Genomic DNA, 25,547 nt, shown 5'->3' with positions numbered 1-25,547 from the left:
TCCAGACAATGTACGGTAATGATATAGAATTAAATCCAAAATAAAAGCCAGGCATGGTGGCTCACACCTATAATCCCAGCACTTTGGGAGGCCAAGGCAGATGGATCATTTGAGGTCAGAAGTTTGAGACCAGCCTGACCAACATGGTGAAACCCCGTCTCTACTAAAAATACAAAAAAAAAAAAAATTAGCTGGGCGTGGTGGTGGGCGCCTGTAATCTCAGCTACTCGGGAGGCCAAGGCAGGGGAATAGCTTGAACCCAGAAGGCAGAGGTTGCAGTCAGCCAAGATTGTGCCACTGCACTCCAGCTGGGCAAGAGAGCAAGACTCCCTCTCAGAAAAAAAAAAAAAAAAAACACAGTGGGGAACCACTGGAGGAAGCCATAGTGGACTAATCTAATATTATCAATGTATCTATTCTAAAATGTCATGCTTCTCTGTATACTCAACATAAACTGTCTATGTATACTTATTTTAGCTGATTTAACATTTCTTTCTTTTTAGGCTAAACGTTGTTTTGTGATTGCCCTTCAGATCTTTCCTATCTTCAATAGACCTGTCTGAGCTGAACGCTATATACTTCTATAGAGCAATGTATAATGAATTTTGTTAGGGAGCTTTCCAAAGCATGCAGTTCCCTTTCTCCAAGCTACTGCCTACTGCCCAAATAGACCAAAGTTTGGTGAGGTCAGTAGAAACCTAAATGAGGGAAGATCCTTGTAAGCCTACTTTACAGACCACCACATACAGCAATGTAACAAGTGCCTCACAAACAGATTCTGTATTGAGCTGCCATCCTTCTCTTCAGGATTAGGAATCCAAGTTGTAAGCACCCTCTCCAAAATTGAGTATTGGACTTCACTTTCATCCCCCTCTCCCATCATAGTTCAAAAGTAAAATTACATCTACGAATAGGCTTTCTACGCAGTTTCCAATATTGTTATTCCTGTTATCTAGCATTTTTATTTTTATTGGTGTTAAGAAACTTACTTAAAACCTTATTGAATTTTGCTGCAATACTTCTTTTGTGTACATGAATGAAATTTCCCCAGAGCCAGTTGCATTGTGGGAAAATTATACAAAAACTTCCTTAGTGTGAGGTTCAAGTTCCACATTCACTCTATTCCCTGTTCCCTCTGCTTTGTAAAAAACTGACAAGCACATACCAACACCTTACTGATGAAAGCCATAACCCATTTCTATTACATTCCTTCAGATTTGATTTTATGAAAACTTTAATCACTTTATTTGCTTTTCTTTTAACAATGAGTTTCTTCACATCCATCTCAACACAGAGAGACCCTAACTGTGAACAACATTTTAATGAAACTTCCCCTGAGTGAGGATGGAGGGAAGTCGTCCCACCAATGCTACTATTAATACAAAGAAATGAAACAGGCTCCATGAAGGCAGCATGCTTTATCACACAGGAAGATTGTTCTGGGGGCTTAGTCAATAATAGGCTGGAAGAAGGGGAGACTAGAGGCATGCAGAGAATCCCAGGCTTTTGAGCTTTTCCAGGGTAGAAATGATGAGAGCATGATATAGAGCAGACACAACGACAAGAGAAATGAGCAGAGGTAAAAGAGATATTGCAGACTTAGAATTGATGGCACTTGGCAACTGACCGGACACATAAGGTGAGGGAAACAGAACATTGAAAATGACTTCAAGATTGCTGTCCTAAGTTCCTGACTATTGGTTGATGCCAATAACTAAAACTGGGAACACAGAAGAAAAATCTGGCTTTGGAGAGAAGATGAGGAACTGACAAGGCCCTCCCATTTAGAGATATCCAGCAGGAAGAAGAAAATTTAATGACTTAACATTATAAAATTGTATGACATAAATTCTTAAGCATGTCCTTATCCTTACCTACTTCAAAAATTAAAATGCCTACAATTCAACACATCTGTCATGAAACTCACTATCTTCTCCTATAGCCTGCTTTCTTGCTTGTATTTCTTATCTTGAAGGATGGCAACACAATCCACGGGGCTCCCCAGCCAGAAACCTGGGTACGATTCTTAACTCCTCCTTTTCAACCATTAGATTCCTGCCACCTTCTAACTAACTCTTCAATCCTTCCACTTTTCTCCATTCCCTCTATCACAGTCTTGCTTCAGGCCATCATAATCTCTTATATGAACTACTAAAATAGCTTCTTATCTTGCCTTCTTTCTCATTCTTGCTTTTTACCAATTAACAAGTTTGGCAAAACAATCTTCCTAAATTTCAAGCCAGTTCGTAGTCTCCCTGACATTAAGCCCATTACTGACTGTTTATTATTTCCTTATAGTAAAGAGAGGCAATGACTATAAAATTCATCTGGGCCAGGCACAGTGGCTCCTGCCTATAATCCCAGCACTTTGGGAGGCCGAGACAGGTGAATCACTTGAGGTCAGGAGTTTAAGACCAACCTGGCCAACTCGGCGAAACCCCATCTCTACTAAAAATACAAAAGTTAGCTGGGCATGGTGGTGTGCACCTGTAATCCCAGCTACTCAGTAAGCTGAGGCAGGAGAATCACTTGAACCCTGGAGGAGGAGGTTGCAGTGAGCTGAGATCACACCACTGCACTGCAGCCTGAGTGAGAGAGAGACTCTGTCTCAAAAAAAAAAAAAAAATTAAAATAAAAAAAAAATTTTAATGCATCTGGTTCTGTAGATGTTCAATAAATAGTGATGGTCATGGCTGACTTTTTTTGTTGTTTTGGCATAAAGGATCTTTTGTAATTGAGTTTCTAAATACCTCTCCAGTTTTATCTTCTAACTCTGAATGGTATGTTCCAATAGTAGCAAACTGGGTAACCCCAGAAAATAGTATACTTTTTCATACCTCAGTAAATTTATACATACTATTTCCTCTTTCTGAAATGACATGTATAAAGATGCCAATTTTTCCCAATTAAATATATGGATTCAACATAATCCCAATCAAAATCTCAGAAAGTTATTTTGTGGATATTGATAAACTGGTTCTAAAGTTTATATGGAGAAACAAAAGACCCAGAATAATTAACACAATACTGAAGGAGAAGAACAAAGTTGGAGGACCAACACTACCTAACTTCAAGACTTACTATAAAACTACAGTAATCAAGACAGTGAGGTACTGGTGAAAGAAGACAAACAGATCAATTGTACACGATAGCCTAGAAACACACCCATATAAATATGCTTGACTGATCTTTGACAAAAGAGCAAAGACAATACAATGGAGAAAAGACAGTCTTTTCAACAAATTGTCCTGGAATAACTGGACATCCCTATTCGAAAGAAAAAAAAAAGAATCAATAAAAAAAAAGAACCAAGACACAGACCATAACCCTTCCCAAGAATTAACTAAAAATGAATCACAGACTTAAATGTAAAAATGTAAGATGCAAAACTATAAAACTCCTAGAAGACAATGTAGGAGAAAATCTAGATAACTCTGGATAGTGATGACTTTTTAGATATAACACAAATGCACAAACCATGAAAGAAAGAATTGATAAGCTGGACTTATTAAAATTTACTTGTGCCAGTAAACAAGTTTGGCACTGATGGGACCCCCATTTAGAGACATCCAGCAGGAAGAAGAAAATTTAATGATGCAATATTATAAAATTCTATGATATAAATGCTTAAAAATGTCTATATCCTTACCTACTTATAAAATTAAAATGCCTTAAATTCAACACACTTATAATGAAACTATCTTCTCCTATAGCCTGCTTTCTTGCTTGTATTTATTTCTTTTGAGATGGAGTTTAACTCTTGTTGCCCAGGGTGGAGTGCAATGGCACAATCTTGGCTCACTGCAACCTCCACCTCCCAGGTTCAAGCGATTCTCCTGCCTCGCCTCCCATGTAGCTGGAATTACAGGCATGCATCACCACGCCCAGCTAATTTTGCATTTTTATTAGAGACAGGGTATCACCACATTGGTCAGGCTGGTTTGGAACTCTTGACCTCAAGTGATCCACCTGCCTCAGACTCCCAAAGTGCTGGGATTATAGGTGTGAGCCACCAAGCCCAGCCTCTTGTTTATATTTCTTATCTTGAAGGATGGCAACACATCCTTCAGATATGCCTATCACAAGAGGTATCAGATAAAGGAGTATTATCTAAAGTAATTTAAAAATTCTTAAAAGCCAACAATAACAAAACAATCAATTTGATTAAACAGATATATCCCACCAATGAAGATATACACATGGTAAATAAGTAGATGAAAAGATGCTCCACATATGTCATTAGGGAACTGCAAATTAAAACAACAACATGATACCCACTACATGTATTAGAATAGCCAAAATCCAAAATACTAACAATACCGAATGCTGCTAAGGACGTGATACAACAGGAGCTCTCATCATTGCTGGTACAGCCACTTTGGAAGACAGTTTGGCAATTTTGTACAAAACTAAATATACTCTAACCATACAATCCAGCAATCACACTCCTTGGTATTTATCCAGATGAACTGAAAAATTATGTGCACACAAAAATCTGCACACAGATGTTTATACCAGCTTATTCATAACTGTCAAAACTTGAAAGCACCCACAGGTGAATGGATAAACTGTGGTATACTCAGAAAATGGAATACTATTCAGAGCTAAAAAGAAATGATCTATCAAGCCATGAAAAGACAGGGAGGAAACTGAGATGCATTTTAAGTGAAAGAAGTCAATCTGGAAAGGTTGTATACTACAAAATTCCAACTATAGTACATTCTGAAAAGGGCAAAATGTAGGGAGACAGTAAAAACATTAGCAATTGGCAGGAGGAAGGGATTAATTGGCAGAGCACAGTGGATTTTTAAGGCCAGAAAATAATACCACAGTGCATGATGTGGATATATGTCATTATACATATATCAAAACCCATGAAAAATACAACACTAACAGTGAACCCCAATGTAAACTATGGACTTTAGGTGATAATGATGTGTCAAAGTAGTGTCACTGATTGAAACAAATGTACCACAGTAAGGCAGGATCTTAACAGTAGGAGAGGCTGGGAAGGAGCCAGGGTATGTATGGAGCCTCTCTTTACTTTCCACTCAATCTTACTATGAACCTAAAACTGCTCTAAAAAGTAAAGCCTATTTTTAAAAGTAGGTGGGGTCCTCTTTTTTTAACCCAATCTCTTCGCAAATTAGTGGTTTATCCCCTGGAGGTAAAAATTGACCTTTCTTCTCCAAAATAAACAAATTGGAACAATTCCTTCTGATCTTAATCCCTGAAATTTTAATATATGGAGCCTGGAAGTGACTGTTGATGAAGTTTATTCCACATGTGACCTTCTACATACTCCTATGCATATCTCTTTCCGGCATGGTGTGGGTTTGGGATGCTACAACCAAGCACCCAGTGGTCACACAAACAGAAGCATGATAGCCCAGGGTCTGACCAGACTTCTCCCTGTGCTTGTTTGTGTTTGTTTTATTCTCTTTTGCTTTATTTTTCAACTGTTCAATACATTGTAGAACATGATTTTGAAATGCCCAAGTCATTTTTACTTCTCAGTATTTGTAAATTTATAGATATAACTGAAATAATTTCAAATAACAGATACACTTATATAAATGGTTATATCAATAAAAACACAGTAATTAAAAATAATAGCTGTCATAGGGCCGGGCATGGTGGCTCACACCTGTAATCCCAGCACTTTCGGAGGCTGAGGTGCGCAGATCACAAGGTCAGGAGTTTGAGACCAGCCTGACCGGCATAGTGAAACCCCGTTTCTACTAAAAAAAATACAAAAAATTAGCTCGGCGTGGTGGCAGGCACCTGTAATCCCAGCTACTTGGGAGGTTGAGGCAGGAGAATAGATTGAACCCAGGAGGCGAAGGCTGCAGTGAGCCAAGATCGCGCCACTGCACTCCAGCCTGGGCAACAGAATGAGACTCTGTCTCAAAACAACAACAACAACAACAACAACAACAACAACAAAACGCTGTCATGGTTAAAAAAAAATACCAGTATATACGTTAATTTCTCCAGAAAATTTACCCTTAACTACTCAAGCCAATTACTTGCTCTTCCAAGACACTGCTATAATAATATTTCTATTATTGTACTCATCATATAGTATTTCCTTATCTTTCATATCCAAACTTCTCAGATTACTTCTTTGAGGCTAAGTATGATCTGATCCTGTTTATCTTAAAACTTTGTTATGTAACTTTTTGTTGAATGAATACTTAAAAATGATAAATGAATGAATTACAAGAAGCCATAAATTAGACTTAATAGATGCTAACTATTAAGGAGAAAATGCTCTCAATTTTTGTCATCCTAGTGAACAAGAAATAAATATCAACATTTGTACTATAGGCAGTTTTATGCTGGACTTTATGTACTACCATTTAATGTACATTTCATTTTACATAAAATTAGATGAGTAATTAAAAATATAATGAAGTTTTCTTATTCTGTTAACAGCTATTCCTTTTTAAAATAAATATTCTACTTGGGAAAGTATAATTAAAGTCTTACTCTTGTTTAATAATACAAATAAAACTGAATTCTGTCTAAGGAAAAACAGGAAAGATTTATTAACCAGCATGTTTTTATACTTATAGTTTGTTCTATCTGTTCAGCCTACAGCATACATTTTTGTAAAAACTTCAAACACTTTCTATATGGAGTACTTCCAACTGCAAAGGCCTAATAGAAAAAGCTACCCCAAGAATGTGTCCCCTTTACATCTGTGCCTCATACCACAATGCAAAAGATAAAGTGGTCCCCAATGAATCACTCTCTATAACTGGCAAAAGTTATTGCAAATTTAAATGGAAAATTTAAGGCCATTAAAATAATCTGGTGAAATCAAGAAAATTCTTCAAAATCTCCTTCTTCAGTTTCAGCAAAGGTACCACCTGACAAAAAGTGTACTCAAACAGTCTTTTTGGGCTCAACAAGGATGTCAGCTAGGGCACTCAACTATATTTACAACAAAGCAGTATCAGAAACATTCTTTACTGTGAATAAACAATAAGCTCATTCAAAACAGACAGAAAAAGATCCTGGAGAATTGAAGCCATTATGTCTCAAAAAGTGAATTTCTAAAAAGAAAGGTTTCTAGCAAGTTAGAAAATGATAGATTTTGTCACTGAAGACTGAAACTGTATTGACAGCTCTCTATAACTGGCATAGTACACATCAACTAAAAAATGTACTCTAAAGCATTTGTGCCGAAACACTGCTTAATAGTCCCTGCTGATAAAATTTATTCATGTATACTATAAAAGTAAAAAGCCATTCGAAATAATAAAAAGAGATGACATGCTGACTTTAATCTTGGGGCTGGAACCACCACAACGCCCTTAGAGATAAATATGAAGCAAATCTCAGCTGCTGCCAACTATGGTGTGTGTTACACAGAACCTGGAGAGCTCTAACTGGTCCCTCTCTGTTCTCCTGAATTACTCCATTGTTGAAATCAACAAATCCAGGAGAGAGCCCAGCACCACAACCAAGACATACAAAAAGCTTTCAATTACAAACACCGCAATAGATTTAGCTTAGTGGTCACAGTTGGCTGCAAACCGTTTCTCTGAGAAGGAAAAAGAAGACTTTATCTACCAAGGTGGTTATAAACATTAGAGAATAATTTTGGAATGCAGGGTCAAGAAGACCAGAATGTGTGCTTTTCATTCAAGGATTCACGAGCTTTTATTACTGGTCTAATTTAATCAAAGATAACGCATTGTTTAGAAACAAGCAATTGAAAGCTGGTATGAAAAAGAAGGAAGTGAGAAATCAGTAGCAAATAAGTAGCAGCTGATGTCCCCATAGCTAAAATGCATGACAGAGAATTCCCTGGGCTCAATCCAAGTATTACCCATGCAGGCCTCTATCTTTTCTCTCTTAAAAAGTATCTTCTTAGAAAATGTGCATATTAAGAAAGAATTTAAATACAACAGAAGAGAAAAATAAGAGTTTCATATGATATTCCACAATTCCGTGTTATCAAATAGCAGAGTCCAAAAGGTTTTAGGCAATGCCAAAGGCCATCGGGTTATCTGCTTTTAGAAAATACAATATCTGAAACATTTAATAGAAATACTACCTAATCTTGACCAGGTATGGTGGCTCATGCTGGTAATCACAGCCTTTTGGTAGACTGAGGCAGATGGATCACTTGAAGTCCAAGACCAAGAACTTGAAGTTCAGGACCAGCCTGTCAACATGGTGAAACCCCATCTGTACTAAAAATACAAAAATTAGCCAGGCGTGGTGGCACATACTCCTGTAATCCCAGCTACTCGGGAGGCTGAGGCAGGAGAATTGCTTGAACCCAGGAGTCAGAGGTTGCAGGGAACCGAGATTGTGCCATTGCACTCCAGCCTGGGCGGCAGAGCGAGACTCTGTCTCAAAAAAAAAAAAAAAAGAAAAGAAATACTACCTAATCTTAATGATACTCAACACTGATAATTATACAAAAGAAAAGAAATACTACCTAATCTTAATGATACTCAACACTGATAATTATACAGCCTTCTTTAGTAGCCTGGTATGTGTTTAATAACCCGTTAAATTCAGAAATTATAATTAACTATTTTCTGTTGCTCCATTATAAGCCCATTTTCTCCATTTGATTTTTGTTGCATCAATATATTACAGTAGGTAGTTAGGCATGAGCAGGGCAGAAGAGGGCTCCCCTCGCCTACTAGAAATGTCAGGCAACCATACAGTAGGTAGTTAGGCATGAGCAGGGCAGAAGAGGGCTCCCCTCGCCCACTAGAAATGTCAGGCAACCATCAGGTGATGGTCCCACAGTTGACACACCACTTCTCTAAAAATGATCATTGGTCACAGGCGCCAAAAAGAGGCAATTTCACAATAGATAAAAACACTTGAAATTGGTAACTGGCAGCTCAGGAATTGGGCAAGTAGGCTTGGGCATGTGCATTAAGAGACAAAATGGCAGAGTATGACCTTCCAGGGGCATTCCACTGAAAAAGGGAAGAAAGCCTCAAGTGAGCATGTGTACAACTTCTTAAACACACTGCGCATGCTCACCTCCCAAGGGTTAGCAGGCCACTGCGCATGCGGGCAGCCCACCCTAAGAGATGGGAAAAGGTAAACAAGGCCCTGTAAGGATGCCAACATATAAAACTCCAAATCAAAAGGTCATACGCCACCATTGACCTCCAAAGTGCCCGTTTAGGTCTCTTCCAAGTGTACTTTCCTTTGTTTCCTGCTCTAAAGCATTTTAATAAACTTCCATTCCTGCTCGGAAACTTGCCTTGGTCTCTTTTTCCACTGCATGCCCCTCGGTCGAATTATTTCTTCTTAGGAAGCAAGAATTGAGGTTGCCATAGATTCGTATAGCTTTGCTGCCAGTAACTCGGATATTTGCCACCACTAACAAATATATTATTTCACATGCTTGAAGGAGTTAAAAGGAGTCAATCATCTTACCTAATTTTCTAAGGACAAAATGAAGACCCAAGCCTTTTCAACTCTAGTCCTAGAACCCATTTTCTATTATTTTCATCATTTTTATTGCCCTTTACTGAAACCACTTAAATTTTTAAAACCAAACCTATTCCACTAACAAAAACTGGGTCAAACTATGTCAAAATCAAAGACTGAGGTCAGGCACAGTGGCTCACTCTGTAAATCCCAGCACTTTGAGAGGCTGAGGAGGGAGGACCACTTGAGCGCAGGCATTCCAGACCAGGTTGGACCACACAGTGAGACACCTCCATCTCTACAAAAAAATATATATATATTATATATATATATATATTTAATTAGCTGGGTGTGGTGGCTCACACCTGTAATCTCAACACTTTGGGAGGCAGAGTTGGAAGAACTGCTTGAGCCCAGGAGTTTGAGGCTGCAGTGAGGTTTGATTGTGTCACTTAACTCCAGCCTGCATGACAGAGCAAGACTGTCTCAAAAAAAAAAAAAAAAATCCTGAAAAAAATAGTTAATAATATCAGCTTATTGATTGTATAGTCCCTTACTTTTCAAGACATTTTCAGCTTTTTTCTCTTTTAGACTCATTAGACCCTTTCAAGTTAGAAACTTGAGATAATATTCCTGATCTTGCAAATGATACTGCATGGGCAAAAATGTTCATATTTTTTTTCTTTTAAACTTCAATTACTTACATAAAGCAGAGGAAACACAGGAGGAAAAGAGTATAAAGAGCCACAGTTAAGGTAGAGGAGGAGAAAGTAGAGGGAAGTCCCTTCAGGTGGCTCATTCTTTTTAGTAAATAGGTGAGAATGATGGATAAAGTGTGGCTTTCAAGATCTGAGGCAAGAGGGAGCAGTTAGAACAGCCACTGGCAGACCCCCTCCAGAAATAAAGGACAAACAACTAAAACACTGTAACTGCCTCATTTCCTGTTCACCTAGCCTAAGGCTTCTTTTGATTTTTCTCTTTTTCAGTTGAGTTTTGAAGCAGTCTCCAATGTATTGTTGTGCTTCTGCAATAAGAAGGATTTAAATCTTGATCAAACTAAGGAGTGATCCACTAATCTTATTTCTGATATTAATGTACTTTAAACCCTAAGAAAATTAATGAACAAGAGGCTTAGGTATTTCAGGACAGAACTGGAAGAATCAGAGTACAAAACAAATGGCATGGAGTAGCCAGTAAGAGGAAAGTTAAGACTGGGTCTAGAGATGATGTTTTAACAGTTTATCGTTAGAGGAATTTGATGTTAGAATTCCCTAAATGTTGCCAGCTAGTGACTATCTGGGCCCGGTGGCACAGGCAGTAAGGAAATTTAACAAGACAATAGTAGATAAAGAAAAGCAGATTTATTAGAGAAAGTATGAAAATATGTTGTAAGACAGGCAGCACAGCAGAGAAGGGGGCTGTCCGCAAAGATGCAGGGGCTGGAGGGAAGTTTTACAGGGTCATGCTAGAGGGGGTACCTGGAGAACAAGGTCACTGTGCCTGCAGAAGTAGGTCGAGATCACTGTGCCCTTGTGTTGTTTGTGATTAGCCATCTCTCAGAACAGTTGTTCACTGTTCTTCCCCATCTGGGGCCCTTCCTCCTTGTTGCTTACTTATCAGGACTCCACACAAAACATCATGTACAAGTTTTTATTCATTTGTGTTGTATGTTATTACTGTCCAAAATATTTTAATTTTATAGAAAGCACAAGCAAGGGTATTTAGTGAAATGTGCCTGTTTTTTCTCACACAGTTATTCAAGGCAGATATGTCTTACCACTCTGCTTATATTATCCTACTGAGGTACCACTAATTACCCCATAGCATAGGCATACCTCAAGTAAAAGAAAACTCAAGGGGAATTTAAGTCTCTCTAGAATTTAATTTGAAATCTCATTCCCTTAAGTGATGGAAATATCACAAAAGAATAACGTAGGTTTAAAGAAGGTAAAGAAGAAAAGACCTAATTTAGCAGCCTCATTTTTTATATATGCTACAGGGACTGCATAGTAGCAAATTTTCCATATGTATCTTACTTGTGTGGAGAAAACATTTTAAAAATATGGTTCTAAGTTAATGAAATTGTGTAGCAAATGGAGTACCTAAAATCTGTCTTAAAGGGACTTTTTTTTTTAACAAAAATATACTTTTAGATGTACCAGAAAAATAAAATTTCAAAGTGAGAGTCATCAGCTAAACTCTGTTTATTTCAATGTGTGGATTATTTCAAAACATGAAATTTATTTTAACATGTAGATGATACAAAAACCATTGTATTTTGTCAGCTTGATGATATCTTTCACCTTTTCTTGAGCATAAAAATAACCTATTGACTAAATTCAACATCGACAAGAAGTTTTACTTTAGATCAACACATCATGAAGTCCTCATTAATATACACCTGTGAAGAGCAGGTGTGTTGAACAGAAAGATATTATTTTGCATAATAAAACTGACACACTATCAACAGCCTAAATGTGTAATAAATGAATCACGTGTATGGTTTATTTTTCAAGGCATCATAAATGAAGTACAACTTTACCAAAATTTGGTATTTTCACTTGATGAGATGAAAAATGGTATAGATGCCTTCATGCAAAAACAAGGTCATAAGATAGCATTCTTAAATTCATTTGATATAAAAAGTTCTACTTCTAAACAGACATGTCATCTGACTCTTCTAATAAAACATATCAGTTTTTAAAAATAGTAGCATAAGTAGGAATTTTAGGTTGTGTAGACAAAATTTCAGAAAAAGACCCATTGCACTGCACATGATGCATGAGTATCACGTATTCCTTAAATGCTTATTCTTCCTTGTCTACTCACAACTCCACACCTCCTGGAAAACGGAATATTTTTGGTATCATCTTAAATGCTTACATATAGGTCTATTTCATGCACAAGTAGACTAGGAACTCCCTGAGGGCAGTAAAAGCACACCTGGCTACCTGCCTTCCCTGACATCACCTTCCCAAGTAAAACCTATTGCCCAAGGGCCTCGAGATGGATGGTAGGACCCTCTCCCCACCAGTGAGTGAAGCAAATAATGTCCTGTTCCCAAGGATGTACTACATTACTGGCCATGTATTTTGACCTCTGATTAAATAAAGGTGCCATGTAAAGTGTTGTAACTTCTATTTGCACCACCTAGTGTGCAAATAGATCTCAAATTTATCCTTCCAGCACAGGTTCTGGAAGTCTCACTGAAAAAATTTTCAGGAAATAATGAAATTTTAAATTATAATAATAAGTAAAATAATGTATAGTAATAATGTATAGTTAATATTTTTGATGTGCCATAAGTCACTTCAGAGTGATATAGTACTCCTTAAGGACATGTCAATAAATATTCAATTATTCCTATTTCAGAAAAGCATGAGATTTCTAGTTACGAGAAACTACAAATAAAAGAAAACTGAACGAAGCACAGCCTTTGCAATAGGAACATTAACAAGTATACATTCATATTTTAGAGTGACAATTGGATAAATACAAATAGTATTTAGGGAGGCTATAGAAAAGCTGCACAAAAATGCATAAGAAATGAAAACACATTCTTCTTAAATTTGTCAAACAATCTACACTTACATTGTCAAGATGAAATATGATAACAAATGAAATAAAACTGAGCTCTCTGGAAGACTTTAAATTCTACCAATGCAAGTTTCCAGAAACATGATTAAAATCTTTTTTTCTCCTGAGATTCAGAGCGGAAAGGTTTTTCCTCCTATTTTTCTGCATGACAGTCTCTGCAGATTACAAACAGACGCAGGGGATCATTCTAAAAACCTTGGAGAAGAAATCAGCATTTTGAGATTCGTCTACTAATGTATGTCATAACCTCATATGCAGCTGGGCTATTCTCCATGCTCATTACTACTAAGATGACCTTAGTCATGCATTTCCCTCCTGTTCCCTTTCCCAAATGTTCACGTTCTTCCTTCAATCCCAGCATTTCCCAAACTGTACTCTGCAAAACATTAGAGACCCAGGAGATACAAAGTGGATATTTCTGTCAAATAAATTTGGAAAATATTTCATGGGATATCTCCTCTCAGAAATCACAAACTATAGTTTGGGGCAGAATAAGAAGGCCCTTGAAAGACAGGCTAAAGAGGTAGATTTTATTCTGGAGGCCAAGGTGAGAACTGTAGAGGATTTTCAGCAGGGAGAGAGAGGATTAATCTCTTTCATGGAGAATGCATATTATGCTGGGAGGGCAGTATTGGGGAAAAAATTCAACAGATCATCAAAATAATCATGCAAGACAAGCCAGTAACTAAAATTCGAGAGTAGATTAAACAATTTCTTCAGAGAATGAAAAGTGCCTAGTGAAATCTAGATGTGGCACAAGGGAAAGGATGGAGATAAAGATGGCCTAAGTTCTCTATGATCACTATTTTCTCAGTAAAACAGAAAGCAAAATAACCTGAGTAAGGGAGAAGATACAAATTTCAAGAAACGAGAGGAAAATAACAAAGGTCAAGTTCTGAGTCAACTCCTGTGGGCAACAGGAGTACATCCTGTATTATTATTATTAAAATAATATCCTGTATTATTTTTAATTTTTTTTTGTAGAAACAAGGTTTCCCTATATTGCCCAGGCTGGTCTCAAAGGATGCTGGCTGCTTATAAGTAAAATAACTCCTTAACATCATCATGCATGGAGCCGTTACTGACTCAGCCATGCTATCTTTTCCTCCTCTAAATCCCTTATAGCACTTTTTTTTTTTGGTACCTCCCTAGGATACTTTAAAATCTGTGTTATATTTTTACTTATACACTTTTTTTACTTTCTTCTACTAGATTTTAGTTATTTGACTGGGGGAGAGAGAGAAGTTATTAGGTCTTATTTATCTGTATTATCTTTCATAAAACATGCTATATGGTAGGTGTTTAAAACATCTATGTGAAATTGAAGGTACAATTACATGTCATAGAATATATGCAACCTTGCTTCAAAATCCACCTTTCTGATCCTCGTTCCTCTATAGGATAGATGTATCTTCCACCGTCTCTCTTATTTCAAGATCTTCTCCGTCTTTGATTTTTGGCAGTTTGAATATGATGTGCTCAGGTGTGGGCTGTTGGTATTTGGTTTTTGTTTGTTTTGATATTTATGCTACCTGGTATTCTCTGAGCTTCCTGTGTTTGTGGGTTTCTATCTGTCATTAATTTTAGAAAGTTGTTAGCCATTATCACTTCAAATATTTTTCTCCTTTATCTCTTTCTCCTCCTGTTATTCCAATTATGGGTATGTCACACCTTTAAAAATTGATCCACAGTTCTTAGATGCTCTATTCTGATTTTTTTTTCCTTCATTCCTTTTTTCCCTTACATTTCAATTTGGGAAGCTTCTATTGACCTATTTTCAAACTTATTTATTCTTTCCTCATCCTTATCAAGTCTATTGATACACTGAAGGCATTCTTCATTTCTGTTACAGTGTCTTTGATTTATAGCATTTCCTTTTAATACTTTTTTTTTTTTTTCAGATGTAGTCTCCCTCTGTCGCCCAGGCTGGAGTACAGTGGCATGATCTTGGCTCACTGCAACCTCTGCCTCCCAGATTCAAGCAATTCTCCTGCCTCAGCCTCCAGAGTAGCTGGGATTATAGGCACACACCACCAAGCCCAACTAAAAAGTAGAGACGGGGTTTCACCATGTTGGCCAGCCTGGTCTTGAACTCCTGACCTGAAGTGATCTGCCTGCCTCAGCCTCCCAAAGTGCTGGATTACAGGCATAAGCCACTGTGCCTGGCCTCCTTTTAATTTTTTATTCGAGTTTTCGACTCCATTCTTACATAGCCCATCTGTGCTTGCATGTTGTCTACTTCTTAAATTAGAGTCCTTAATATATTAATCAGTTATTTTAAACTGCCTGTCTTATAATTCCAACCTCTGTGTCATCTATGATAAGGGCTCTGATGATGGCTTTGTCTCTTCAGACTGTGTTCTTTCTTGCCTTTGGCATGCCTTATAAGTTTTTGTTGAAAGTGGACATGTTATAATGGGAAATAGGAATGAGGTACATGGGCTTTTGGTATGAGGATTTATGTTCTGCTGGCTATGTGTTGGGCTGTCTAACGTTTGCTGTAGGGTGCTAGAGGTATAAAATTTCTGCAGTGCCCTTGTTTTCATCTTCCCTTTTAACTATGGGTTTCTTTAAGTACTCTTCCTCGGAGGGAATTTGTGTCTTGAAGTTCTTTCAGCTGTCATCTGCTGTTATTAAACTGGAGACGTGCCAGTGTGATAGTGAAATGGGGGCAAGGAGTAGCATTCTATAATCTCTGATTATACTAAACCTCTGTTTAATCAGAGATTACAGAATGTCTTTTAGTGAGTCTTTGTCTCTAGCCTGTGACCTTTACAAGTTTTTTCATGAATTGTTTTTTCCAATTCCTTCAGTGAAGCAGGAAGGCTACAGGGCCCAGGCAGTAATATCCTACTCCCATGGCTGCAGCACAAGGCTCTGATACAGTCTTTCACCCTGGAGTGTGGACATTTTATTAAAAAAAGGCTCTGGGTACATTTTAGGATGATTACTTGTCCACTTCTCCCACCAGGGCCATGAGGGAATCATTCTCAGATCATCTGTGAGAAACTGGTGGGGTTCCTTATAGGTAAAGCCCATGAACACTGGTGGGGAGGTAGGTAGGAGTTTCTAAGTCACACCCTGCTGAATACTTAGTCTTCAGCAATTTATCAAAATTGCCATTTAAACTGTTCCTACCAGTTTATGACTCTAGCAGCTTCTTCTCCAGGTAAATAGATCTTGGCTGAGACTCTCTGGAGGCACCTGTCTCCAGATTTCAGGGAGGGGGTTTGCCCTGTAACCTCAAATATCTGCTTCAGGGTCCAAGAAAAGTCACTAGTTTTTCAGTTTGTCCAGTTTTTTCTTGTTCTAACGATGTGAATAATAACGTCTTTTTTTTTTTTAAGACATGGTCTTGTTCTGTCACCCAGGCTGGAGTGCAATGACACAATCACAGCTCACTACAGCCTCAAACTCCTGGGCTCAAGCAATCTTCCTACCTCAGCCTTCTGAGTAGCTGGGATTACAGGCACTTGCCACCACACTTAGCTTTTTTTTTTTTTTTAAATTATTTTGTAGAACAAGGTTTCCCTATATTGCCCAGGCTGGTCTCAAACTCCTGGGCTCAAACAATCCTCCTGCCTTGGCCTCCCAAAGTGTTGGGATTACAGGTGTGAGCCACCACACCTAGCCAAGATTAACAACTTCCTTGATCTTAAAATGTCAGAACTGAAACTGGGAGACTCAATATCTAATTTTTATATTAATCCAGTGTTAAAGTGCACGTGTGTGCACGCACACACACACGCGCGCACGCACACACACAGCATTCTTTCAGATTTGTATTCTCAACAAGGGCTAAGGAAAGAAAATGTATGAATAGAGCATATTCAAAGGTGCTAATGATAGAGAGCAACTTAAGGATATTACAATAGTGCAAACCTGGTATTTAGAGTAAGAAGATTCAGCCATGAACCTTTCAGATGTACTAAGTTGATTATTTAACTCCTCTAATCCTAATTCATTAAAATAGATATGAAATCACTTTTGGTCATAACACATGTGGTCCTAATAATTATTATCATAACTCCAGGTGACATTTTCATTTTAAAATAACAGGCCAAGAGTGACAATGCTTTATATTTATGAATGTAATCACTAATTTAAAAATTTCAGAAAACAAGGAGAATCAATATTCTTTGTATAGTTATCTCAATTTTTTTCAGTTAAAGAAAAGCAGATACATTTATATATAAAATTTCCATTACTAATAATGGAAATTTTCCAACATATACAAAAACAGAGAAAAATAATGGACCACTATATGCTCATAATTGATTCTCAATAATTATCAACATTTCTGCCATGAAGTCTCATCTCTCCCTCCCCCTCTTTTTTTTCCAGAGTACTTTAAAGCAAATCCCAGACAATATGCGAATACTTCAGTATGTATCTCTATGGGATAGAAAAGTCTCTCCACTGGGTACAGTGACTTTGCTCTCACTCACTTTGGAGGAGAAGTGAACTACTTTTCCTGTGTATGAACGACAGCAGCATGTTTTCACCACTAGTGTTGCCATTTGGAAACTTAAGCATGAATGGAAGAGTGAGTGTGAGTGGTGAGAAATCAAATTGATGAACTGAGTTGGATAGTGTGTATGGATTCTCTTATCTGCCCTCCTACCCTCAGTCTAGATCACTGGAGAGGTCAATAATAAAACATTTCTCTTGCAGTTCAAATTCTGGATGAGAATTCGCTTCTGCAAATTAGAAGCAATTCATCTAAGATAATGAACACAGAAGCGAAGCAGAAGCCATTTTCCTACATCCTTTCGACTGTTTTAACTGCAAACAAAGATAAAGAAATGCAAGGTGTTAGCAGTGCTTTTTGTGGCACTTTCCAATTTTCTGGGTGTCAAGAGGCAATTGTGACTACAGCATTAGCAGTGTAACTCTGGCTTCCTGATTACTGGATTGCAGCAAGAGGAGTATATTCATAACACACAGTTGCAGCAACCATATTAGCTATAACTGGCTCTTGGGTGGATCATTTCTGTACTCCCTAAAGTCATTCCAGCAAGAACAGCCTAGAACTCATATCTTAGATCTTCCAACTATTTTATAAGCATCAAATTCTCTTGTATTAAATATCTTCCTGTTTTAAATAAATGTAATTTTTGTTTCCTGGACTAAATCCTGACTCACACGCTATTTGATGTATCTGTGTGTCTGTGGAACTAATACTAAAGTTTCATGAAAATCCCCTTTTTATGTGTGATACATTAATTTTTCTATTTTACTTGTCCTATTTACAATTCTCTTAAGTCTATAGTCACTCTTAAATTTCCATGCTATTCTATGTCTATTCATTAAATAAAATGCTAATTGCAATGTTTAAAATCTACTTCATGACCCACCAACAGGTTGCAAGCTTCAGTTAAAAGACACTGCTTACAGCATGATCTTATTAAGAGAGCCGAAGTATACTGCAGAATATCACAACTGCATTACTTATTTTTCTTTTATTCCATCCTGGTCTTCATGATAGACAATCGAAGCTTTTCCAGCTATCATCTTATTGGCCTCTACCTAAATAGGAGACAGCATTCAGGCAAGTCTCCACATAGCTAAAAAATGTTTTCAACAAATAAGCAAAAATGGAGAACAGAAAATAAGAAGAAGAAAATCGTACGACTGACATTAAGGTTTGGGGGAAAACTGCTCTTGATCTAAAAAGAATGCAAGGTTTTTTTATAAAACCATTTTCTGAAAGCTTTCATTGACCAGACTTGATTTTGTTATTAAAACATACCTCCAGAAACCATATGCAGTGTTTGATTCTTTTTCCTCCATCTACTTATTAGTCAAACAGAAATAAATCTAATATGGACCAAAAGAACTTTTAAAAACTAAACATCCTTAAATCTTGTTATATGAATAGTGAACTATATTCAGATTTTGGTTCTTGATTCCAAAACCAATAAAATCACAGCAAAATGTTAAATGAATCCACAGATCTCAGAGGATAACAGATCATAAAACTCCCACAGATTTGGCAAGGTGGCAGTCACTGACAGAAGGAGAAAAGATATATAAATATAAGCTAAAATTTCACATTTTTTCCTATGCTAAAAAATTGGGCTCTATGTACAATGTGGAGTATTTAAATATAAAACATTTTTCTATTTTAACAAATATATAGCATTAATGAGTACTACATTCATGCATTATATGTTCTCTTTACTATAGGAAAAATATTTTTAATTAATTTGAATCATTAATTGAAGCTCAGCAGGCTTAAACTTTGATTTTAATGTTTTGAATAGAAATCTGAAAAATGTAGTACCCTCTTTTACGCCTAATAAAACAGAATAAACTGAATATTAATTAGTCTTTTGATGCTTCAGATTTCTCATTATCATAATCAATTACCATCCCCATGCTGAAATACTGCACTGAGCTCAGGAGTTATTGATATGTGGCAAAATATTATAGTGAAAACATCATGGATGTTGGTGTTAAACACAGCCTGGTTCAGATCATGGTACTCACAACTTTCTAGCCCTGTGATATTGTGCAAATTAATTAACATCCCTGCATTTAGGTCTCATCTGCTATAGAACAGAAATCATAATGCTCTACTCTTAAGGTTGTTAAAAAGATTAAACAAAAATATAGGCAAGAAAGTAAAGCATTTTTTCTTGCTATTAACACTATAAAATCAAGTATCTCTTACTTCTCAAACTAGAATATTCCATAATTCTGAATAATTGATACAAATGTACAAATAATTGGTAAATGCAGCACTACTGTATTTGTAGACTCAAATACCATAAACTTTTAGAGTTCAAAGGACAAAATACGACCGGGTGTGGTGGCTCATGCCTGTAATCCCTGCACTTTGGGAGGCTGAGGCTGGCAGACCAATTGAAGTCAGGAGTTCGAGACCAGCTGGACCAACGTGGTGAAACCCTGTGTCTACTAAAAATGTGAAAATTAGCTGGCTGTAATTCCAGCTATTCGGGAGGCTGAGGCATGAGAATCACCTGAACCTGGGAGGCAGAGGTTGTAGTCTCAAAAAAGAAACAAAGGACAAAACACGATGTGTGAGAAATTTACACCTTAATTTTAAATATATTTAGAATAAATGCTATTGTATTGCTTAGAATATTTTTTTAATTAATGCTGTATTTTAAAAATGTTATTATGTTTATTGATATTATATAGATATAACTAATTTTTATTTTAATCTTGTATACCAGAAATCTTGCTAAATGGGACTACAGCTAGCAAAGGACATACAAAAATCTCTAAAGATAACTTCATAAAATGTTATTGAGACATTTAAAAAGACCTGGATAAATGAAAATATACACTATTTATATGGATTGAAGAGTAAATATAAAGATGACAGTTTTCTCCAAATTACCATGGACTAAATGTTATCCCAGTCTAAATTCACAAAAAAGTTTCTGTGGAAACTGACTGATTCTCAAATTTATATGCAAACGCAAAAGGCCAAGAATAAAAAACAAGGCAATTTTGAAGAACAATGTGTAAGAACTTTATGAGATATGAATATTTATTATAAATAAATAGCAATGAAGATAGTGCAGCATTGGTATATAGCATCACAAAAACAAAAGACAAATGGGACAGACCAGAAAAACCTAGAAACAGACCCATACATATATGAATCATTGATTTAAGACAAAACTGGCACACTTCATAGAAGCAGAAAAAGGACAGACTTTTCAATGACAATATTGAGACCACTAGATGTCCATATGGAAAAAAAAATGGAATTGGATCCTTCTCTGACACACACAAAAATCAACTTCAGGTAAGTTTTCAGGACTTAATGTGAACACAAGCAAAATATAAAACTTTTAGGATACAGGAGAAAAATCTTCATGACCTTGAGGTGGGAAAGATTTCTAAAATGACACACAAAAAGCACTAACCATCAAGGAAATAACTGATAAATTTGGCTAAATTGAAAAAAAACTTTTGCTCAACAGAAAACATAATGAAGAGTGAAAAGACATGGTGCAGAATGAGACAGGACACTGTGACCCATAGAAGCAATTAGGTTTCCAGTCAAACTACATATATAAATTGTACAAACTGATAAGAAAAGATAGCTCACTAGAATGAAAAATAGACAAAGGACTTGAACACATACTTAAAAATAAAAAATTAGGCCAGGAGCGGTGGCTCATGCCTGTAATCCCAGCACTTTGGGAGGCCAAGGCGGGCGGATCACGAGGTCAGGAGATCGAGACCATCCTGGCTAACACGGTGAAAACCCGTCTCTACTAAAAAAAAAAAAAAAAAAAAAAAATTAGCCAGGCATGGTGGCGGGTGCCTGTAGTTCCAGCTACTCGGGAGGCTGAGGCAAGAGAATGGCGTGAATCCAGGAGGCAGAGTTTGCAGTGAGCCAACAGCATGCCACTACACTCCAGCCCAGGCGACAGAGCAAGACTCTGTCTCAAAATAAAAAAATTAAAAAATTAAAAATTAAAGAGTAAGGTATACTACTACTATTTAGGAATGCATTAAATAATATTATTTTAAAGGTAACAGAATGATTACTGTTAAATCAGGAACAGTGGTTACCTCTAAGAATTAGAGACTTCTGAGGTGAAGACAATATTCTACTTCTTAATGTAGGAGGTGGTTTACACAGGTGTTTATTTTATAATTACTCGTAATTATACACAATATAAGACAGTTTTACACACTTTTGTATATATTTTGTAATATAGCAGACTGTCTTAATTGTACTAAAAGAACTCAGTGACAATTTTCCAGACAACACAGGCTATATAGCCCAAAATAAAGATTCTCCTGAAAAATGGAACTTCTAGATTCAGATTTTCCCCATTTTGTTGTTCTAGAGTCAGACTCACCATTGTGGGGTAGAATATAATAAGATATATTGCTTTTGCCAGAGAAGGTTACAGGGAAGTGGGGGCATTGGTCTAGAAATTGACCAGCTAAAGCTGAAGAAATAAGCTTTAGATAAGGGTAGATTTGGGGGAAATGATTCAATTAGTTTTACTATTCCTACCCTTAGTTTGATGAGTAAATCTTCCTGAATAGTGAGCTTGCTCCTCTAGATCTCAGTTTCTCATTCAATTTAAAAAAAAAAAGATTATGTCTTAGTAAAAACACAAGTATCAAGTTTTCTCTCTCTGTGACATGTTTTCATAAAATGCATTTTGAGAAATCGTCCATGAACCTGCACCATCTACTAACTCTCACCATAATTTTATGCAACCAAGAGAAGCACGGATGGATACCTTTGGCTAGCTACACAGGAATGGTGATAAACTGCATCTTTGACATCCACCAGCATGACAAGTGAAATAAGACCTAAAACCAGGAAATTCTGGGACTCAGTTTCCCCAAATTTCAAACAGAAACAATAAAATCCATGCTACATATCTCAAAAGGCTATATATCATAATGGTTGCCAAAGTGATTTGAAGCAGACAGATTATAAAATAGACCATCACTTCTGAATACAGATAGGGTACAGTAGAAATAATAGGAAACAGAAATCCGAGGTTTTGCCTCAGGCATTTACTAGCTGAGTGACTGACTGACTGACTACAGATGACTTGGACCAGTCTAGTTGAAATAATTTAAGGTTATCTTCCCATTTCCATAATTACATATGAATTAGTCCTTCAAAAACTATATACTATTTAAGGTTCTATATTGACTTTTCTTTTTTTTTTTTTTTTGAAACTGAATCACCAAATCTCACTCTCTTGCCCAGGCTGCAGTGCAGTGATGCAATCTTAGCTCACTGCAGCCTCCGCCTCCCAGGTTCAAGTGATTCGTCTGCCTCAGCCTCCTGAGTACCTGGGATTACAGGTGTACACCATCAGGCCTAGTTAATTTTGATATTTTTAGTAGAAACGGCATTTCACCATGTTGGTCAGGCTGGTCTTGAACTCCTGACCTAAGGTGATCCCACCCACCTGAAACTCCTAAAGTACTCGGATTACAGGCATTAGCCACTGTGCCTAGCCAGTTTCTATAATACTGATTTTACAGCAAAGATTTTATTAAAGATCCAATATTATGCCCAAGATAAATTAAAATTATCACTTTATGAAAGGATTCCAAATAGGGTTTCTTTAAATAATTTTCCCAGAACTTATATTTTTACTTATTAGAGGTAACGCTTTCTGTATACCTTCCTAAAAATGTTAGAAATTTAATGTTACATCTAAGTTATACATTCAGCTGCCAACGTTAGGAATTAAATGTTATATTAAGTTATTCCTTCAACTATCTCCTACAACTGATTAAAGTAAACAAAAGGAAGAACAAGTTTCCATAAGACAAAATTGAAAACCAGTATTATGAATCCAGTTTTGGGTAGACACATTCAGGTAAACGCAAGGTTGATATTCAATAGTCACACATGGGTTTCTGCCCTACTTGGCCATCAGCTGCTGTTTAATAGAGGGCCCAACTACCCCTTTCCCACACGAGGTTCCCAGTCTCCTCTCCCAGAATCCCTGAATAAGCCACCTGCCCTATATTCCCCACAACTCCACAACTAAAGAGCGAAACCCCAGGAGGAAAGGGCAGGCCCAGTATGCTGTTCCAGTCCTGAATCCTTGGTGCCTATGCCACATAGGTTGTTAAATATTTGGAATATCACCCTTGGGTAAACGCTATGTGGGTGAAATATACTTTATGCCTTCTAAAGGAAGAGTAAGAGATTTAGTGGATCTGACTTCAAATTTTTCTATCTCTTTGGTTGAGTCGATCAAATTACTGGCAGCTTTATGCATGTAGGTAGGCAACGTTGCTCCCTGTTCTTTTTGGGGTTACCACCTCTTTTTTCTTTGTTGTCATTATAATGGTAAGAACTTCAGAGCTAACACTTGGACAGGAAAACTCAGTCCAAAATATTTGCCTCTAGGAAATCAGACATCTAAAAGTATATGTCAGTCTCTTTCCCTGATCTCAATCTGTGCAAAATTAAAAAAAAAATTAAAAGATTACAAAAATGTTTTTCAACAAAACATATCAAAATGTACAGTTTTTCTCTACAGTCTCAGAGGAACTTAACGGAATAGTAACTACTGGCTATCTAGAACACCACCAAATGCCAAAGAGACTGTCAGTTTGATTCAACTTGCTAATTAAAGTGAACTAAGATAACATTTGAAAGATGTTTTTAAAAAGTGTTTTACTAAACACTTGTTTACTTATTAAAAATCTTTCTAAATATTTCTCATTTGGATCTGACCAGCTACACTGTGATATATGTTATTAACACTATTTCACAGATGAGGATATTGATGCTCTCAGACATTTGCCCAATATTACTCTGCTGTTAATTAAGAGAGGGCACTGTGCACAGCAAAAGAAGCCTAAGAAGTACCCTAGAGAAACTTAAAATTCTAACTAAAGGACGAGCTCAAAGGGCTAAAATAGAGTTAGCGATGAGATATACGTCTTTGGAATCTCTCTTGCACTGTCATTACCATATTCATCCTACTGCAAAGGCGAGAGCCCTAGTACCTGCAACAGCCATGATGCTCAAGTTAAGCCTGCTGTCGCTTTAAAACAATAACATGTAAACTTAGTAAATGTACCAATCATTTAGTAAAGTAAATGCCAACTAAAACGGCAATGTATGTCAGTTTTGATTCACTAAGATATGCATCAGAAATATGAAATCAAACACATGTCTAAAATAATTTTCCAAAAAGCCAATAATGAGTGTGATAGGAAAGACATGCTTCAAAATAAAATTTTCTTCCCTGGGATTTATTAGATAAAATTCCCATTTAAAAATTAATTACAATAATTCCAGCAGTAGCATGATATAAGTCTCCTATCCCTAATAGTTCTTTACCAAAGTTATTAAGTGGAAAAATCACTTTACAACACACAAGTTGTCTTCTGTAATTACTTAAGACTAAACAGACCTTCTGGGCTCCCTTCATTCACTGATGGTTAAACAGTTGAGCAATATTTTAATATACATTCTATGTAATTGCACAGAATTTTAACATCATAAGCTATTGCCTGGAATCAATTATCTCAATCACAATTTCTCTAATTGTTTTTCCAAATATTTTTTATAAATCAAAATCTGGTCTACTTCCAATGGACTCAAAACTTGCTTACAGTTCCAGAACACAAAAATTTCCATTAAGTTAGGACTTACTACACAACAATAATAACAATAACAATAATACATTTCAATTCATGTTTTCATACCATCTTTTAAAAAGTAGCTTGGCCTCCCATAAAACACTTCCTCACCCTGTGAAAAAGATTTGTGACAGAACAGTGTGAACAAGGAAAGTATTTGGTGCAAAGAATATACGCGGCCTCTGTATGTTAACATTTATCAATGCTACAGTGTCTAGGATATAGTCTAGCACCTACACTCCAAAAGGCAAAAATTATTAAATGAAGCTCTTCAAACAGAAAGGCTCAGCTGTGACATATGCACCAAAAACAGGAGTTCTATTTTCCTTGGCTTTAAAAAAAAATCACTTCTGAGAATTTCTTCTGAGACCAATCTGCAAATAGACTTTTCACACTGACCT

The 25,547-nt window shown here is 36.6% G+C and overlaps 1 protein-coding gene and 1 long non-coding RNA gene across 45 annotated transcripts in view; one reads left to right on the top strand and one right to left on the bottom strand.

Annotated features, from left to right (window-relative positions):
* PPP1R9A-AS1 (PPP1R9A antisense RNA 1) overlaps positions 1–18,778 on the top strand; it is a 178,641-nt gene extending 159,863 nt beyond the window's left edge. For both annotated transcript variants that reach the window (NR_183323.1, NR_183324.1), the window contains one exon: positions 17,689–18,778. This is a non-coding gene — a long non-coding RNA (PPP1R9A antisense RNA 1). The remainder of the gene's footprint in view (positions 1–17,688) is intronic.
* Positions 1–25,547, bottom strand: part of PPP1R9A (protein phosphatase 1 regulatory subunit 9A) — a 389,180-nt gene that overhangs the window by 241,946 nt on the left and 121,687 nt on the right. The gene's annotated exons all lie outside the window — the stretch shown is intronic.

This window comes from Homo sapiens, chromosome 7 (genome assembly GCF_000001405.40).
Source record: "Homo sapiens chromosome 7, GRCh38.p14 Primary Assembly".
NCBI classification, from domain to species: Eukaryota; Metazoa; Chordata; class Mammalia; order Primates; family Hominidae; genus Homo; species Homo sapiens.
Note: the sequence above shows the minus strand (reverse complement) of the source record. Positions and strands in the feature narration are given on the sequence as shown.